We start from the raw sequence: 19,907 nt of genomic DNA on the forward strand, positions 1-19,907 counted from the left end.
GGAAGCCCAAGAAGAGATTGGGTGGTGGCTGCCAAAGGGGACCAACAGATTCTCTGCCCCATCCAGAGACCAACAGATTCTTGAGGACTAACAGACTGAGGGCTGTCCGGGACGAGGGCATCGGGAGGGAGGAAGAGAGCAGTGTGGGTTGTCCCTCTCTGATTCTGTGAACTCAGAATCCCGAGAGGACCTCCTAAGTCCTAAATTATCTGGCCCCCAGCCCCATCTCACTCCACGCTGCCAGAGCAGGCTCCCAGTGCTCTCTGCCCCACCTCCCACCATCTCAAGACCCTTCCCAAGTGCCCAGCCTCGCTCCCCACCTGCGCCCAGAGGCTCCACTTCAGCCTGGCATCTTTGGAAAGGGCTCCGTGACTAGTTGGGACTGGTAGAGGCTCAGAGTCTCTCTTCTCCATTCTAGCACCTGAATGAATTGTAATTATAATCTCCTCAAGAGCAGTTCCCAAGTCTATCTCTTTACCTGCCTTTAATACTATCATTATTTATATTTACATTTTTTTGTCCTCTGTCTTAAGCCTCCCTCCAGCTGTGAATTTCACAGAAGTGGGAATTTACTTTATTCTGTAGTCTCAGGGTTTAGCTTAGTGTCTGGCATAATGCTGACACATGTTAGAAACTCAATAAGCATTTGTCAGATAAAGAAGGAAGGAAGGGAGGGAGGGAGGGAGGGAGAGAGAGAGAGGGAGAGAGAGAGAAAGAAAGAAAGAAAGGAAAGAAAGAAAGAAAAAAGAAAGAAAGAAAGAGAGAAAGAAAGAAAGAAAGAAAGAAAGAAAAAAGAAAGAAAGAAAGAGAGAAAGAAAGAAAGACTTAAACAGGACACTCTTTTAAAAGGTGTCAAAAGAAGAAATGGAAAGGAAAAGCAAGCCAGCACACCGACCTGCCTCAAATAATGCATACCTTCAAGTACCTAAGGCAGTGGTTCTCAAAAAGTGGCCCAGGGGAAACTGGGGGACCCCAAGACCCCTTGGGGGGGTCCATGAGATCAAAACTAATTCCAGAACAATATTCTCTGAACTTCCCACCACAGGAAACTGCCCACAAACCAAGACTCCCGGCTCCTCACTTTCCTCACTGTGCTGATATTTGCACTGATGACACAAAAACAATGGTAGAAAAAACCGTTAGAGACATGAACCTATGTGTGGCGTCAGACTGCACTAGCAGTCATTGTATTCTTCACAATGTATTCTTTCAAGAAAAGGAGGCTCACTTAGGAATGTTTTTGATGAAGCAGTGAAAATTACTCATTTTATTAAATCTCAACCCTGATTCTCTCAAGGAAAAGCATTTGTGTGCTACAGTTGTGAGCTGAACCAGCCACTTTTCATGGACGCCGTGAACAAATAACATAGAACAAATGATAGCCAAACTATGGATACTCATATTTGGGTATGCGGCATACATTTTCTTGAAAATTAACAAAGTGAGCCTTTCACTTCCGGGAAAACAACTACAATTTGTTAGCATAATAAAATTGGAGCTTTCAGTCAAAAATTTGAATTTTGGAAAATTTGTGTCTGCCACCATGAGTTTGACAGCTTCCCAATATTTGAAGACTACTGACAGGATCAGTGGTGATATTAACAAATGTGGTGGGGCTTTTTTGCTTTTTTTGTTTTGTTTTGTTTTGTTTGTTTTTGAGACGGAATCTATCTCTGTCGCCCAGGCTGGAATTCAGTGGCATGATCTCTGCTCGCTGCAACCTCTGCCTCCCGGGTTCAAGTGATTCTCCTGCCTCAGTGTCCCAAGTAGCTGAGACTACAGGCATGTGCTACCACACATGGCTAATTTTTTGTATTTTTAGTAGAGATGGTGTTTCATAGTGTTAGCCAGGATGGTCTCGATCTCCTGACCTCATGATCTGCCCGCCTCAGCCTCCCAAAGTGCTGGGATTACAGGCGTGAGCCACCACGCCCGGCCAAATGTGGTTTATTTATATGTGTGTGTGATATATATAAATATGTATATATAGAGAGTAATAAATGATGTCAGCATTTAGAAGACGTACATAACTCAGTCAACCAATATTTTCCAAATGATCAATATATGAAGTCACAAAGTTTGGATAAAAGATCCATTAAATTTTAAGAGGGACCAATTGATTCTAATGTAACAGAGAACAAATAATTCATTGATATGGTTTCAGACTTTACGTTGCAACTAACCTTTGAGAAACCATCACTTGTTGGGTTTTGATGTAATATGAGAGAAGAATATCCACAATTATATATTTAAAGGCTATTAATGTATTCATCCCCTTTGCAACTACTTATCTGTGGGAGATTGGATTTTCTTCAAATCTTCAACCAAAGCAACATACAGCAATACCTTGTATGCAGAAGTAGATGTGATAAACCAGCTGTCTTCTTTGAAGCCATACAGTAAAAAGGTCTGCAAAAATGTGAAAAAAAAACACTCTTCTCACTAGCTTTTGACATATATATATAATTATTTTTAATTGTTTAAAAACGTGGTAATACGTAATGTGTTTATTAATGGTACTTTAAGTGAGTTAATAAATCATTTTAAATTTTTTAAACTTTTAATGTAGTAAATACTGATACATCTAATCCACAAAAGCTCTTTGGGATACTCAATAACTTCTATGAATACATATAAAAGGGTCCAGAGAGCAAAAAGATTAAAAACCTGGGGCCAAAGGAATCCCACAGGCTGTCCTGATGCAGATAGGCCACAAGGTGGCAGCATGCGCCCTCTGATAACTCCGGAGTCACCTTTCACTCACTAGGAGTCTCTGAGCAACCTCTTTTATCCATCACTCCCTTCCACTTCCTTCCTTACCTTCATGCTTCTGTGTGGCACGTCTTTTTTTTTTCTAACTAGCTTTATCCACCAACGCCTTCATAATTACAGGGCATAGCCATCTCCTAAGCATAAGTTCTGGCCAAACCAAGCCAGTCATTCATTTTATTCTGCAAACATTTGTCAGGTGTCACTCATATGCAAAGCTTATCATCCAGGGATGAGTACATTGAGAACACTGCTCTCAAGTAGTTAATAATATAATGAGGGAGACAGATCCAAACGCCAGTGATTATAATGCCTGCTGAGTGTGAAAACCCTTTATTCTTTACAAAGGGCTGTGGACTTCAAAGGGAGTCCTGAGAGCAGAGGATGCCAAAAGCCAGATGCTGAGATACTCGCCAAAAATTTCTGCAGAGATCTGGAACCTAGGGACATAGTGAGCGCAAAAGCCAGGTTCCCAAGAGATCGGGGAGGAGAAAGGGTTGGAGCAACAGAAGCCAGGCAACAAAAGGGAATGCCAGCTTTCTCAATTTTGAAGGTGGCATGTCTGAGAAATTAGGAGGATGATGAGCAGAGGCAGCCAAGGTGGAGACAGGGGGAGAGGTCCAGACTTGGGGAAGCTTAGGTTGAATGTCTAAGAAGCCAGATCATTGGAGGGTCCTCACTGTGGATGCTGGAGCAGCCCAGCATGGGGGCAGGGAGTGCGGCTGCTCTCAGCAGAGGGCCTCAGAGACCTCAGGATGGCCAGTCAAGGGAGGCCACAAGGATGCCAGGGGTGGTCAAAGCTTGATGTGGACTGAGCCCAAACGTGGTAGAACAATGGTCTGAAGCTACCCGTGGATAGCTTCTGTAAGTCATCCTAATGCACTAGAGTCTAGAATGAGCACTGGGGAAATGGGGGATGTTAGGGCGCTTGTGGTTAGGAGACCCGTACCCAGAGATCTCCAAGGAAGAGCACTTGGGACTCCCAGCAAGGAGGAAGACAGGGAGTGGAGGAATAGGCAGCAGGCTGTGCGCAGCCTGAGTGGGGCTGGGCCTCAGGCATCAGAGTCCCTGTGAGGAGAGGGACCTGACTTCACCTGCAGGTGGAGCAAGTAAGCCAGGAGACAGTGTCCAGGGGCCATGAGGCTAGTAGTAGTCATGAAGCCCACCAAGAGTCCATCAAAACTTGGAATCTGTGCTAGAAATGACCTAAGGGTCAGCTGTCCCAATCTCCTCATGTAATGGATAAGAAAATGGAGGCCCGAACATGGAAATCACTTCTAAAGACCACCAGCAAGTCTGAGAAAGCTAAGGACTAAAACCAGCTCAGTCCCTCAGTCCGGGTCCCACTGTGTGCCTGCTGTAACACCCCCATTACAACACAGGAGGGGTAAAGCTCCCTGAAAGACCACAGTGGGAGCTGCAGAGAAGGGAAAGACAGACCCGCAGTGGGTCCCAGGCATCTGGGAAAGAGCACAGTGATTTGATGGTAGCTGCAGGAACCTCTGCCTGCTTGTTTGTTTACTTGCTTGGTTGTTTGTTTGTTTGAAATGGAGTCTCACCCTGCCACCCAGGCCAGAGTGCAATGGCGCGATCTTGGCTCACTGCAACCTCTGCCTCCCAGGTTCAAGCGGTTCTCCTACCTCAGCCTCCTGAGTAGCTGGGATTACAGGTGCGCACCACCACACCCGGCTAATTTTTTGTATCTTTAGTAAAGATGGAGGTTTCACCATGTTGGCCATGCTAGTCTCGAACTCCTGACCTTGTGATCCACCCGCCTCGTGCTCCCAAAGTGCTGGGATTACAGGCGTGAGCCACCGTGCCCGGCCACTTATTTGTTTTTTAACCCAAAAAGCCACACCCTTTTCTCCCAGTGAAAACCTCGAGTCATTGTACAGAGCCAGGAAAATTGGCCCACCCACTTCATGCCCTAGCAGAAGGCTCCGACTTTCCCTGGAAAATCAGTACCCAGAGGGGAAGACCCCCATCCCACCATCCCTCAGTCCAACCTCTGGCCTCGGCTGGCAGTGAGGAGGCAGGTGGGTGTCGGCCACCTACTGATCATGCCAGGAATTGTCTGCTCCGGTCAGAACCAGAATGGCTCAGCCCTGGCCTCACCTGCGCCTGGGCTAGCCTGGAACCTGGGGGCCTGCAGTGGCCTTCTAAGATGGGGGCCCACTGTCAGCATCAGATCCCCCAAGTGCAGATTCCCGTCTGTTTTGAAACCCTGACCAGCTGCTCATTCCCACCCACTGCTGAGCCTTCTCTCCCCCAACTCCCTATTTTACTTTCATTCTGAATCAGCACTAAATGACCACAGTCAGTGGCTCTGCAGAAAGTCACAGAACAGAGGGTGACAGGCCAGTGTTTATGTCACATTCACTCATTTCATCATTGATTCATGCACTCCTGAATTTATTCAATCAACAAGCGTTCATCCAGTGCCTCTGAGCCAGCCCTTGCCTGGTGCTAAGACTTTGGAGGGTAGCAGGCAGCATCCCTGCCTAGAGGAGCCACAGTGGTGTGGAGGAATCAGAAAGTCCACCTGAAAGTTGAGAGCTCCATGACAAAGCAGAGATGCCTGCCGCACACCATCACTCAGGGTTTGAGTCACACACACCCTGCTTCATTGTCATGCTTTTTTTGTTTTTATTTTAAATTAATGGACAAATTGTATTAAACAGGAATTTTCATATAAAGCTTCAGATGTCCTGGGCCCTCAGGAGGTCCAAGAACATCTGGTCTACTTTCCCACGTGGCAGCCCTGGCCTGACACTGGCTGTCCCTTCAAGGTAGGAACGTTCTCATTCCCCACAGTTGCCACCACTGTCCAGTGTCCCCAACCCTGAGGCCCCATATCAGTGGCCACAAGTTGCCCTACTGCTGCCGTTGATGTTCTCATGCCCCACCAGCTTCACCTTGGGTCTGGTTCCCGCAAGGGTGAGTTGGAGATCCTTGGTCCTGAGTGAGAAGTGCTTTGTCAGAGGCAGCAGAGGGCGCCATGGGAGCACACAGGAAGGGCGCCTGGGGCTGTGCAGGGACTGCAGAACAGGCTGCACTGGCACACAGGGTTGGCTGCTGGCTGCTGGCTGCTGGCTGCTGGCTGGGTTTCCTCTATTAGCTTAAACAATGGAAGGTGGACTTGGATAGGAAATCTACCTCATGTATTCCTGAGCTGTGTCTGCACCGTTCATTCATTCGTAGGCGACTCATGTATTCAAGCACTCATTTATTTATTAGATGCTTGCTGTGTGCTTAGCACTGTGCCAAGCCCTGTCCTTAGCTACCAAGAGTTTAAAACGTAATTTGGAAGACAGGATATAAGATTATGTCTCCCCTTTGTATTGCGACTCACTCATCAAGTTCTCCCAGCATCTAGCATTCATATCTGGCACTCAGTAGGTGCTCAACAAATATTTGTTGCATAAATGAATGAAAAGATTATTAGTAATAATACCTTTTATTTACTGAGCTCTTCCCAACTTTCCATGTATTGTCGCAATCCTCAAGGTAAGTCCTGATATTATCCTATTTTATTGATAAGAAAAGTAAGGCACAGAGAAGTTAAGTAAACTGCCTAAGGTCACACAGACAGTCTGAAGTCTTAACCACTACTCCAGGTGCATCTCAGCAGTGTGAGGCAGGCCATGCTTAGGGCCAATGCTTAGCACACACAGAGATTGCCTCAGGCTTTCAGAGGACAAAGCAGTCAGGAGGGGCTGGGGCAATAAAGGAAGGCTTCATGGAGACAGAACAAAATAACCAGTGCAGGTAGAAGAAGAGAACCATCTTTCCTGATAGAGAGAGGGGGCAGCAAGCAAGAGGGAGTCCCAGGGTGGATCATCCATACTGGCTTCCAGGGGTGACGGGAAAGGATGCCAGCAAGGACTTCAGCAAGGATCAATCAGCAAATCCGAGGGTGTCTCTCTTGCCAAGCCCCGGGCTGTGTGCATAGGAGAAGGAGAACATGAATGAGAACCTACCTTTGAGGATCTACAGCCAATTGTTGGACAGAGGCAAAATATGTATATAATTTTACTCCAGGAAAGCAAGTGTTGAGAGCCAGAAGTGGTATGAGAATCATAGTCAGGAAGACAGAAACTGTTTCCAAATGGGAAGCACAGAGCAGTCTCCTTGGAAGAGAGTGCATTAGAACTGAGCCGTGGGGGCGGGCAGGATATCACTGTGGAGTAGGGGAAGGGCACTCCTGGGGTGGCAAGGTGGGAGGTGGGCCCTGTGTTCCCACAGTGGGCAGGGAGGTAGTGAAAGGGAAGCTGGCCGGACAGGCAGGGCCATTCCAAGAGGGCTTTGTGCGCAGGGCTAAGCCAAGCTTTCTCCATAGGCAATGGGGAGCAACTGGAGGTTCGTAGCAGGAGAAGGACACATCTTGCCCACCAGGAGGCTAAGTAAAAACAGTTGTCTCCCAAGTTATAAGTTCCTGGAACCCTTGCTGGGAGCAGGATTTAGAAAAATGATGCTGAGAGATGCTAGAAACATATTCGCCCTGAGGCTCTCTCACTCAGACTGCAAGAGGAAGGTATCATCAGAATTGCCCTTAACCAGGAACCAGAATAGCTGGGTCCCCTTCCTGCCAAGTCAGCAACCAGCTATGTGACCTTGCTCAGGTCCATCTCCGGGTGTCAGTTTCTTCATCTACAATGCAAGAGGGTTGCCCACCTCTGAGAACCCTTCTAACCCCAAATCTCACCCTATGAATCTAAGAACACCAACCCCTCGCCATCCTAAGTATCACAGAGCCAGGCAAGCATGGGTGAGAGCTCAGACCATCCTTGTTGGACTAAAAGGAAGGGGCAGACTGCCCATGGGGGGCAGCCGAGAGGGTCAGGCCCCCATAGGTCCTCAGCCTGCTTCAACCTCAAAGGGGATGGGGGGCTGAGTGGTGCCAGAGGAGCAGCAGGCTCGCTCGGGGAGAGTAGGGCCTTAGGATAGAAGGGAAATGAACTAAACAACCAGCTTCCTCCCAAACCAGTTTCAGGCCAGGGCTGGGAATTTCACAAAAAAGCAGAAGGCGCTCTGTGAACATTTCCTGCCCCGCCCCAGCCCCCTTCCTGGCAGCATTACCACACTGCTCACCTGTGAAGCAATCTTCCGGAGACAGGGCCAAAGGGCCAAGTGCCCCAGTCAGGAGCTGCCTATAAATGCCGAGCCTGCACAGCTCTGGCAAACACTCTGTGTGGCTCCTCGGCTTTGGTAAGTGAGCTGCCAGCTTCCCCAGGCAGAAGCCTGCCTGCCGATTCCTTCTTTCCTTCCCTGACCCAACTTCCTTCCAAATCCTCCTCCTAGAAGCCCTCCTTGGTTGGCCCTGCCTACTTTAAAGCTTCTTTCACATTTTCTTAGGTCATGTTCCCCTGGGGCCTCCTGCCCTCAAATGCTTTGCTTTTTGGCACTCTGTAGATATTCTAAAAAATCATTTTGTACATGTGTGTGACAGGCCATCTCCCAGTTAAGTTGCAGCCTGTGCTTTCTTTTTATTTTGCACTTCCCCCACTATTTCTGTGAGTGCTTAGTAGGAAGTGTCAAAGAAGCTTGACAGCATTTTCTTCTAAGTGTCCCAACTCTTGGTTTTCCATTACACAGACAGAGTGCAAGACGATGACTTGCAAAATGTCGCAGCTGGAACGCAACATAGAGACCATCATCAACACCTTCCACCAATACTCTGTGAAGCTGGGGCACCCAGACACCCTGAACCAGGGGGAATTCAAAGAGCTGGTGCGAAAAGATCTGCAAAATTTTCTCAAGGTAGGGCTGGACTCTGGCAGGTCTGACCCAGCCTCACCGCAGTTTGGGTTGACAAGGGAGGATGGGAGTATGGGCTACAGCAATCAAGGGGAAGATTTGAGCTCCTGGAGCCCAGCCCCAAGACGCAGCGAGTGTCCTGTTATACAGGGCAGGTGCTCACAGTTACACAGGACGACAGGGTCAAGAAATTGCTCAATTGAACACCTGCTATTTGTCGGGCCCTGTTCTGGGCAGAGGGATGTAGTGGTAAATGGGGAGCCCACTATTCCAGTGGAGGGAGACACACAGTAAAGTTGTTGGCCAATAAAGAGCACAGATAAAGCCAAATGCCAATAAGTGCCTGGAAGAAAATGAGATAGAGTGCGCTGTGGGCAATGGGGCTGGGTGGGGTGGAGGTGACCAGTTAGGGTACATGAGAAGGGCCTCTTTGAGGAGGTAACATTTGAGCTGAGCCCCGAATGTTGGGGAGGGAAGCCCCTGAGGATGACACTTGGCACAAAGCTGAGGAGACCCTAAGCCTCAGGCGGGAACTTGGGGTGGAAGACTTGGGGGCTTTTCTAATCCTAAGGGTCTGCGGTGGAAAATGAATGCATAAAGAGCACATGGAGAGCACCTGCACAGCACTCAGGGAACTGGGAGGTTTTTCCCCCGCTCCAAAAATGATTAGGCAGTTCTAAGAAAAAGGCTGAGCACTTCCAACAGCCTTTTTGTTTTCTTTTCAAATTTGGGGAAAGTCGGGAAACAGAGGCCTGCATTAAGAAGGGTGGAACACATGGGTCTCAGTCTCAGTTCCAGTCCCGGAGCCAGACATCCTGGGGTAGGTCCCCAGCCCTCCCAGTGCCCCTCCCTCCGCCTTGGTAAGGTGGAGAATTGCAGCCTTCAGAGTTAGGGGCCCTGACAGCTCTCCATAGGTGGAGGCCTCAGGCAGGCAGGATGCTGGGTGGGGTAGGCAAGAAAGGGCCCAGCAGAGAGGCCGCATGGCAAAACTATCCTCCATGTGACCCCCTATGCCCGCTTCACCCCCCACCTGACATCCCCCACCAGAAGCAAAGCGATGCTGTGGGAAAGGAAGCAGAGCCTCATGGATGGGCTGCACAGGAGAGTGCTCGCATTGGCTGGGTACCCCACAGGTTCTGGGAGGGGACTTAGCGAGGTGACTCAGCCAGAGGGTGGCAGAGCTGGAACCAACCAGTGCTCTCTTGGACCCCGCCTGGGTCTGGGTCTTCCACCTCCCCTGATGTCTCTCCTTTTTTTTTTTTTTTTTTTTTTTTTGAGACAGAGTTTCGCTCTTATTGCCCAGGCTGGAGTGCAACGGCACAATCTCGGCTCACCACAACCTCCACCTCCTGGGTTCAAGCGATTCTCCTGCTTCAGCCTCCAGAATAGCTGGGATTACAGGCATGCACCACCATGCCTGGCTAATTTTGTTATTTTTTGTAGAGACAAGGTTTCTCCATGTTGGTCAGGCTGGTCTCGAACTCTTGACCTTAGGTGATCTGCCTGCCTCGGCCTCCCAAAGTGCTGGGATTACAAGCATGAGCCACCCTGTCCGACCATCTCCCCTTTTATACTTTATCACACCCTTGAGGTCAGCGGAGCACATACTCTGCTCTCTGACCCTCCATCTCCCCTGCCCACACCTAGTTTTTCTAGGTGTTTCCCCGTTGTATTGGTTGAAATAAGTTTCACTAATTGGTAACCTCCAGAGGGAAGGGAAGGGAGGGCAGGGGAAGGAGTGAAGTGCAGAGGGGTAGCAGAGTGGAACTGGCCTCTAAGTCAGATCTGAATTTGCATGCCCTCAATAGTCAAGCTGTGAAAACTAATGACCCTCTCTAGGACTGGTTTCAAGTCTTCCTCCAGGAAGATACCATTCCTAGCTGTTAAAGTTGTTATAAGGACCAAATGAGGTGACATTTCCAGGCTTACTCATGCCATGACCAGGGCAAGACCCTGGAACTCAGCTTCCTCTTCTATAAATAGAGAATCAGCACCCAAGTCACAGGGTCATGGAGGGAATAAACTGGAGAGCGTTTGGTATGTGCTCAGTGTCTGCTCCATTGTGCGCACTCAGCCTATGGTCATTTTTAATTTTTAAATCCAGCCCCAGGGTGAGGCTTCCCTTGTACATTTGCCAGCTGGTCATTTACTGTGCTCCCAGTCCCCACCTCTGGCCACACCCAGCTCTCACAGCCTTCTCTCCCCACCCGCAGAAGGAGAATAAGAATGAAAAGGTCATAGAACACATCATGGAGGACCTGGACACAAATGCAGACAAGCAGCTGAGCTTCGAGGAGTTCATCATGCTGATGGCGAGGCTAACCTGGGCCTCCCACGAGAAGATGCACGAGGGTGACGAGGGCCCTGGCCACCACCATAAGCCAGGCCTCGGGGAGGGCACCCCCTAAGACCACAGTGGCCAAGATCACAGTGGCCACGGCCACGGCCACAGTCATGGTGGCCACGGCCACAGCCACTAATCAGGAGGCCAGGCCACCCTGCCTCTACCCAACCAGGGCCCCGGGGCCTGTTATGTCAAACTGTCTTGGCTGTGGGGCTAGGGGCTGGGGCCAAATAAAGTCTCTTCCTCCAAGTCAGTGCTCTGTGTGCTTCTTCCACCTCTTCTCCAACCCTGCCTTCCCAGGGCTCTGGGCATTAGACAGCCCTGTCCTTATCTGTGACTCAGCCCCCTCATTCAGTATTAACAAAATGAGAAGCAGCAAAACATGGGTCTGTGCTGGGCCCCTTGGGCTCACCTCCCTGACCATGTCCTCACCTCTGACTTCAGGCCCCACTGTTCAGATCCCAGGCTCCCTGCCCCATCTCAGACACCCTGTCCAGCCTGTCCAGCCTGACAAATGGCCCTTGTCACTGTACACTGTAGAAAGCAAAAAGGCATATCTCTACCCCTTGATATGCCTGCTACCTCACCAACCAGCCCCAAGCCTGTCTTCACCCATCACTGTCTACACAGCCCTCTCTCTCTCCTAACAGAATTCTATTCCTCTGAAAGTCTTCCAGAAATGGACCTAGATAGTGCCATGTCTGGGGAGGAATACTGGCACCCAGGCAGTGGAAACAAGGACAGATCCGGTGTGTTTACTCTCACACTTTTTCTGGATCCAAGAGAGCAATTGGATCTCTCTTAACAGACCTGCCACCCTAATCAACGGGAGTGCTCACACAAGTGGGAGTCTGAGAGCTTAGCCCTATGCCCACCCTGGTCTCAACAGAATGGCAGAGTGAAGAAATGAGCTCCAGTCCGGGCTCTGCAGCTAAAAGACTCCGTGACTACCAGGAGGAGTCTGTGCTCTGGGTCCAGAGAGCCTGGGGGTCTGAAGATTCTGATTTTAAGCTTTGAGGGCCAGCTGTCCTTTCTGGTGGGTAGCTGAGAGCTGGGCCCAGCACAAGTATCTGCTTCTCTCTGCAAAGCCTACTACCAGGCCTGGCCCTAGCTGCCTCAGGGCTACTGCTGCAGCTCCCCCTTCAAGCTGCCCCAGATCCAAGTGCTCAGTTCAGGGACTCCTCTGCCATCTTCCTGCCCTTTGGCTATAAAGTCCCTTTCCTAGGTTATAACCAGTGGGGTTTGGCCTTCCAAAAACCAGAGTCCAGATCAAGGTCCTCTGACCCCTGTCCTTTCAGCAGAAAGAAGACTCACAGAATTAGGATCTGGGGAAGCTGGGAAGACTAGCAGTCACCTACTCTCCCTTTTCATAAGTGAAGAAACCGAGGTGTAATATGGAGAAGAGACTAGTCCAAAGTCACACAAATGACAGAGTTGCTCAAAATAATGCAGTACGAAAAGTAGCTTGAATCATATCTGCCCCACTGGCTGCACCTCCCCAGCCCCTTCCCCAGTGCAGAGCAGGAAGATATAGAGCTGCCAGTGTTGGATTTCAGCCCTCCCCTCACAGCCTGGCTATGGTTGTGCCCCCAACCTGCCTGTTGCAGACTCCTGCTTTAAGGGCCTGGGGGCTCCGCTCTGGGTGCAGGGTTTTAAGGGCTCCCACTCGAGGGTATGAGGATGTTTCCAGGAACTGTCTCAGGCTGAGAGCTTAGGCAGCAGAGTCTAGAAGCCCTCCTCAGTCCCTTCTGTGCCTGACTTGGAGACCTGACAGCTGGGGACACTCATTTTCTGACAGCCCTTCTGCTCCCATGCTCACATCCAGGGAGGAGTCACTGTCTTCACTCCCTTCTGAACACAGCTTGGTAATGAGGAGAGAGAAGCATCCTGGGGATTGGAGGGCCTTAGACCAGATGCTTCCAGTAGGGTGGTAAGTGCTCCCCCTAGGCCCTCTGCCCACCACTACTTATCACAATGTGCCTAAATATGTTTATGACTCTGCCTACCCCTCCAGACTGATAACTCCAAGAGAGCAAAGTCCATCTGTTTTTTTTTTCTGATTTATTCTCAGCACCTAGAGTAGTGGCTGCTACATAGAAGGTTCTCAGCAAATATTGCCTGTATAATGGCCTAGGTTTCTCACGTGTTCTATGCTCTCTTCTCAAGGGATGATGTGGAGAAAAAAAAGCAAGAGGAGATCAAAACCTGCAAATGGAAGGCTTCTGCATTAGCATTACAGAATCTCAAACCTGAAGGTAAGGAGCAGCAAGTTGATGGAATCGGAGGGCCCCTCCACCCCCTGTTCAATCAGACCAATTTGATTTGAAGGAAGAGATTTGTCTTGAAAAAAGTGTGAAAACTATGGACTTAATCCAATCTGCCCCACCCACACTCTAGAGTGATTCTTGCCAACATCCCTGCCAAGTGACTGAACCAACCCTGCCTGAATTCCTCCAGGAAAGGAGAGTTTCCCCCTTTGGGAGTGACACTTGGAATGTCCCTCATTATACTGAGCTGAAATCCATCTCCTCATGCCCACCCAGCATTAGTCCTACTTTTCCTCCCCTTTGAGGACACAGAACAAATCTAACCCCTTATCATCCATCCTCCCATCCACATGTTTATTCCTCCACTTCTTCAAAACGCCTTCCCTAAATTACATCCAGGCTTTCTCCAGCCTCTTCACCTTTGCACCAAAAATGCTGTGCTCCATCCTGGTGTCTCTTGTAAGTCCCTTAGGATCCATCAAGCCTTGGAACAAGTGTTACTGCTTCCTCACCATCCACCCTTCTCAAGAAGATAGGGACTTCCTCCTCCAGGCCCACAGAACTCTGACAATTCCACCATTGCACTTCAAATACTGAATGGCAAATACTCATTTGCCAAGACTATGAACCCCTGAAAGCAGGGACTATAGCTGATTTTCCCCCACATTCAAGATCCCAGCATGGACCATCCACTTGTTCATCCACAAAGTGAAGATAGGATGGTTCTAGAGCAGAAATGGGTGCTTTGCTCGAATGTGGGTGTGAGGTAGGAGTGGCTCTCAGGAACTGGGGTTGGGGGTGCCAGCTGTCTGGAGACCTGGGGCTGGCAGAGAGCAGAGCAGCTGAGTGGCAGGATGACCCAGAGACCTCCTCAGGTAACAAGGATTCTTCCATTTACCTTGTCTCTAGTAACTCAGTCTGCATGTAGGCAATTGTTTCAGACCCTGGGGGAAGGTCTGACAACAAGCCACTTGCACCCTGCGGAATTTTCTTTAAACGTAGTTGAACAGAACTCATCAAGGTGACTTAACCTCTTCATTCCCATTAGCCTCTTTCATTTCAAAAAAAAAAAAAAAAAAAAAAACCTCATTCTGCTGAGTAGAGCAGAGTGGGCTTCTTTTCTCAGATAGAGAGAGCAAGCATGTCCATGTCCATGTCAAGGTTAAGATTCCCACTCCAAGTGGAAATCAGTAGCTATCTCTGTGATTAATGAGTCCTTTGGGGAAACATGACCTTTGGGGACTTTCCCAGCACCATGGTGACTAAAGAATCAGAGACAACCTGTCTTCAGATGACTATCCAACAATTCCTGCAACAATGAGTTGCCCTCCAGGCTGGTGTTAGCAGTGGAACCTGAACTGCTAGATGCCTTCCTGGGAGGAATGAGGAAGGATCAGAAGTAGTCTAAGCTGCTAAACTCTTCCCAGACACTTCACAGTGCTCTGAATGTGGTCTGGGGCCTGGGTGGTGGTGGGATGGCTCCAGAACTTGGGGGAGAAATGAATTCACTTGTCCACTCACTTGTATGTCCCTTCATTCACTCAACAGACATTAACTGCAGACTTACTATGTGTCAGGCACAGTATAATGCTGAGGGGCCTTCATGATAAATAAAGCTTGTCCATGTTGTCAAAGAGTTCTCGGGCCTGCAGGGAGACAAGACAGCTCCTCAAATTAATCTGATGTGGAAAATGAGAGGCCAGGGAGGTCCAGCTAAAAGATTTCGGTGGGATGTAGCTCGGTGGGACTTTGAGGTGGGAATGATGCCCTTCACTGGGGCCATCTCCATGGAGGGGTAAGTATCAGTGTGACATCAAGGCTGGTACCTGGAGACATCCCGGGATAAACATGAAGGTGCTTCAGGAGACCATGTATGCAAAGGCCTGGAAATGGGCAGGCGTGGGGTTTGAGGGCGAATGAGGAGCACTGGGGGCGTGGCAGGGAGAGGTAAGAGAGACAGATGAGAACAGGATAGGTACCAGGCCAAGGAACTCACACTCCATTCAGCAGAACAGGGGCAGAGCCCCGAAGGCTTCAGGGAGGGCAATGATATAATCACATTTGCATTTCATAGAAGTTTCTCTATCTGTGTTTTATGGGATGGGTTTGGGGTGGGAATGAGACCCCAGGCACATGGCCTGTGGGGAGTCTGTTGCAAGAGCCCAGGTGAGCACTTAAGAGTCCAAGCGGTGCTTCTCAGAAAAAGTAAAGCTAGAGCCTCAAACTACCCCAAGCTTCACCTCAATTAGGAGAGGTGTGACTGCAACATGATAAATAAGATCATTTCATGCTGTTTGCCAAGACCTTTCCAGGAAGGAAGATCTCAGCTTTCACCAGCCCGGTGAGCCAACCTTACACAACCCTGATGCAGCCCTGCCCTGAAGTAAGCTCCATAATCCAACCCCAATGCACTGCCCCCTCTTCCGGCAGTTGCTTAAAACATATATTTTAGAAAGCCCCGTGTCATGGATTTTGACACTCCAATTACCAAAGTGACAGCAGGACTGAAACAACTGGTTTCTCAAGTCCTATTGCCCCTTGGGGCTCTGACCTGAAACAGTTTCTCTATCCTAAGACGACAATCAGTCCCTGGATGATTAGATCACCCCTGTCTTCAGAGATCCACTCCCAGACACAGGAGACAGGGAAAGGGAGCCCCTGAGCGACAGCCAGCTGGCCTCCATCCTGAGTGTCCCACGGAATGCAGAGTCCCAACTAAACACAGAGCACCGCTATTGGTGCTGGCTCAAAACAACTACATCTAGGCTTTCCTTTTCTGCATGAGTTCTCCCACTCTTGCCCACGTACCCAAAATTGCTGCATGCAGACTGTACAGTGAGGAAGGGGTTTGTTGCCAAGACCCGAGGTGAAGAGGAAGAGGAGGGTGGCCACCAGCAGGGGCGGCAGGGGCAGCAGGATTCCAGCATGCAGCCCGCACCTTCAGCATCCCCCGCCTTGACTTGGAGTCTGATCCTCCCTCCTCTCCCCTGCCTCTCCCCCAACCTTTTCCCTCTTGATTTGCCCCCTCTCTTTCTCTCTTTACCTTTTCTACATCCTCTCCCTGAGCTTTTTCTCACTTACTGCCTTCTGCCCTCCTGTCCTCTGTGGTAAAATGCAGTTCTATGTGGCTGAGTGCTTTCAGGGAAGCAACTAGGGGTCATATCTAACCTTTGTGAAGTAACTACGGGTCATATCTAACCAGAAATGGCTCCCTCAAAACACAAGATGTCCCAGTTTCGAGTCTACTCCTCATAATGAAAGGAGACAATCACAAGGGAAAATTGTTGAAGGTCTTGGGGAATCAAGTCTGGAAAAGGTAAGCAAGGGAGCCATGACAGCTGCCTTCAAATATCACCAGGGTCCAGGGAGAGGAGCCCACCCCCGGGGGCAAGGCCTCCAAACCCGCTGTGGTGTGGCTCATTTGCTGCCAGGCCCTCCCACTCTCCCAGCACTGCCTCAAGCATCGCCCTCGCATTCTACTCCAGGTGTTCATTCCCTCTGGTAGGAAACAGCTCCATGCAAAGAAGCCAACATTCATCAGCTATTCAGTCTGCAAATACTCATTGAGTGAGAACTAAATGCAGAGCACTGTTATAGGTGCTGGGTCAACAAAACTGCGTCTAGGGGAGAGTCAGACAAGAGGCAAGTCAAGAAATAGATAGCCCAGATCATTTTAGATGGTGATGAGTTGCACAAAGAAAATAAAGGGGACATGCTAACAGGACTGCTTTGTGGGCCGGCAGCCAGGCAAGGAAGCAACACTGGAAATGAGGCCTGGATGACAAGAAGCCATCTCAACGAAGATTTCACCCCAAACACATTGGAGAGCCTTTGGAGGGTTTTAATCAGGCAGGTGATGTGATATGATGTATCTGGAGGAGAATATTCGGCAGCTGTGTGGAGGGTAGCCTGGAGAACCCCAGAGTAGAAGCATGAGGACCAGTTAGGAGGCTGATGAGCCTGGTCTTATGTCAAATAGTGTGCTAGATTCCCTGCCTTCACAGAGCCCTCAGTCCAGTGGGGGCACAATTACCAGATATTTTCTCTATAATACAATGTTGTGGGCAAAAGACAAGCAAAGGCAGATGATAAGCACAAGATGCCCAGAGAGTACAGAAGGCACTTTTTGCCGTCTTATTGGCTGTGGTGTGGGGGAGGGGGTAGAGGGGAGCCGGGGGGCAGGGGTAGAGGGAAGGAGAGAGAAGGAAAGCTTGCTTGGACTAATGCCCAAGCTGAGTTTTCAGAGGGCAAGAATTGCACTTCCATGTGCCCAGTGCTGTGTTAGGCAATAAAAGAAATCAGAGAAACATAGGAAGTAAGGGCTCTTGCCCTCCAGATTTTTAGTTTGCTTTATCTTAAAACTTGAAAGGCTTCTTGTGTTGGCCAAGTCAAAATGATGAGACCTAGCCATTCTCACATCAGGGGCTTCTGATAGTCATTTTGTTGAGCCCAGATCCTTCTCCTGAGCTCCAAGAGCCTGATGCACAGGCTGGCATGGCTTGGCTTGTGGTGTACTGGAAGCCTGCCTGAAATATCCTCCTGAGGGCAAAGTATTGCACATATAGCACCCAAAAGAGTGTTATTGGTGTCCTTTATCACTCAGTAATGCCTTTGCCCAGACAGCTTTGTCAGGCTCATCATTCCAGCAGCAGCCAGTGAGCAGAAGAGGGAGGTCAGCCCCAAATTGGAAGGGGCCTAAAGTCTACTCTTGATGGAAATACATGAGGAAGATATGAACAGGTGAGCTCCCTGGAGGATGTGACGGTTGAGTCAGGCCATGGTGTATAAGCAGGTGTTCTAGAGCCAGAGAAGGGCCCAGGTAGCCTAGTGTCTGCAACAGAGCAGACACAAAAAAATGTTTGTGAATGAAGGGATGAAAAGGCACTTCAGACAAAGAGAACAAGAGGACAGCAGGAGCAAAACCCAAGAAGTTTCAAAGCCGTGGAGAAACTAGAGACTGTTCTAGAGTGGCTGGAGAATAGGGCCTCTGGGGGTGGACAGATGGTGACAGTGAGACAGGGCCTCCAGAAGCAACAGGGCCAATCCCTGGGCTCTGTGGATCTAACAGTGCTTGTGTTCATTTGCTTGTTCCACGACACCAGCCACAGTCACAGGGTCTAGTCTCTGTGTATTCATGAAGGGACTGGAGATCACTTGTGCAAACAGCACACTATATACATGAAAAAACTGAGGCTCAGAGAAGGGAAGCCATTCGCCCAAACTCACAGAGCCAAGCAGTTGAGCTGGGAGTCTAACCAAGCTCATTTGATTCCAAGTCAAGGGCCCTTGTCATTGTCCTTAGGTGCCGCTGACTGATGGATTTTGACCAAGGTTAGCAGCCCTTAAAATTTTTCTAGCCATGATTTAAGTTCAATTTGTGGTTCAGTGGGCTATTTGGAAACAAAATTACAGCTGGTGAATGTTTTCACAATAGCAAATGTGCTGGACTTTTGCTCTCATCGGTTAGTTGTTGGTTTTTTTGTTGTTTTTTTTTTTAACAGATTCTAATACTACTATATATATCAGAAGTGGTCCCAAATCAAGGTAAGTGCATCAAGGGAGTGGCCTAGTTTGCAGAACAGCTTGGTCTAGTTCAAAGGCCTTTAGAGGAAGATATTGCATAACTTCCCTTGGTTCCTTATCTTACACTGGTCAACTTTAACTATCCAAGCCACCCCTAAATATAACCTCAGTCTGCTTTGGTTTAAAATAATCTATACCTATTGTGCTGTGGCAGAGGGTGGGTCAGCTACAATCGTTACCTCCTGTCTAAATTATTATCTTACTGTTATTGCTAATGTTTGTTGAGTGCTTACTCTGCATCAGATACTGTGCCAAGTGCTTTCCATGTGCTATGAGATGACCTAATCTTGGCCAGTCGCATGGCTTACGCTTGTAATCCCAGCACTTTGGGAGGCCGAGGCAGGCAGATCACGAGGTCAGGAGATCGAGACCATCCTGGCTAACGCGGTGAAACCCCGTCTCTACTAAAAATACAAAAAAATTAGCCTGGTGTGGTGGCGGGCACCTGTAAACCCATCTACTCGGGAGGCTGAGACAGGAGAATGGCGTGAATCCGGGAGGCGGAGCTTGCAGTGAGCCAAGATCGCGCCACTGCACTCCAGCCTGGGAGACAGAGCAAGACTCCATCTCAAAAAATAAAAAAATAAAAAAAGGAAAAAAAGGAGATGACCTAATCCTCTCACCAACTCTGGGAGAGGGGTGCTGTGGTTATCCCCATGCTACTGATGGGGAAATTGAGGTTTAAAGATTCTAAGTAACTTGTTCAAGGTCTCACAGTTAGTAAGTGGCAATGCTAGGATTTGAATACAGAAGCATAACTTCTAGCCTCACACTCTCGACTGCTACTCTTTAGCACCAAGGGACATCCTCCTTCCTACCCTCTCACTAAGTGATGTTCTCCTTCTAGACCCTGCACCAAGTTCCCCTCTATCCAACTGAGGTCTCTCAGAGCACTAACACTGGGTGACACCTGAGTATTCACCTAGTCTAAAACTTTCCAAAATAGATGTTTAAAATTCCTTTGAATTCTTCAAAAATAAAGAAAACACAGACCCAGAGAGGCAAAGTGATTTGGCCAAGGTCATGCAGTGAGGGAAGGCTTTCCCCAAATGCTCTCACATTCTCATTCACATTTGGTGATAGAAGCCTTCCAGGCTTGGGCCATTCCAGGACTCCCTTCCCTGGGTCACACATTCCTTCCTTTTCTGCCAATCCCACTTCACCCCCATCTTCAGGCTCTCCCCTCA

The 19,907-nt window shown here is 49.1% G+C and overlaps 1 protein-coding gene across 1 annotated transcript, besides 2 other annotated features; it reads left to right on the forward strand.

The window, feature by feature from the left end:
- Positions 2,772 to 2,821: a silencer, noted in NCBI's record as "silent region_1339". NCBI's record gives its function as "represses an Ori minimal core promoter by ATAC-STARR-seq in GM12878 lymphoblastoid cells {active_cell/tissue: GM12878}" and the evidence as "EXISTENCE:reporter gene assay evidence [ECO:0000049][PMID:35858748]".
- Positions 3,847 to 3,896: a silencer, noted in NCBI's record as "silent region_1340". NCBI's record gives its function as "represses an Ori minimal core promoter by ATAC-STARR-seq in GM12878 lymphoblastoid cells {active_cell/tissue: GM12878}" and the evidence as "EXISTENCE:reporter gene assay evidence [ECO:0000049][PMID:35858748]".
- On the forward strand, positions 7,950 to 11,119 carry S100A9 (S100 calcium binding protein A9). The gene is made up of 3 exons (NM_002965.4): positions 7,950 to 7,977; positions 8,365 to 8,529; positions 10,740 to 11,119. The coding sequence occupies exons 2-3, from the start codon at positions 8,380 to 8,382 to the stop codon at positions 10,932 to 10,934; spliced, it is 345 nt and encodes a 114-aa protein (NP_002956.1). The 5' UTR covers positions 7,950 to 7,977; positions 8,365 to 8,379; the 3' UTR covers positions 10,935 to 11,119.
- The last annotated feature ends 8,788 nt before the right edge of the window (positions 11,120 to 19,907 follow it).

Source organism: Homo sapiens, chromosome 1, assembly GCF_000001405.40.
Source record: "Homo sapiens chromosome 1, GRCh38.p14 Primary Assembly".
NCBI classification, from domain to species: domain Eukaryota; kingdom Metazoa; phylum Chordata; class Mammalia; order Primates; family Hominidae; genus Homo; species Homo sapiens.

Coding starts and splice junctions, on each gene's coding strand:
- S100A9 (NM_002965.4), top strand. CDS start 8,380: ATGACTTGCAAAATGTCGCAGCTGGAACGCAACATAGAGACCATCATC. Junction 8,530..10,739: donor ATCTGCAAAATTTTCTCAAG/GTAGGGCTGGAC, acceptor CCCCACCCGCAG/AAGGAGAATAAGAATGAAAA.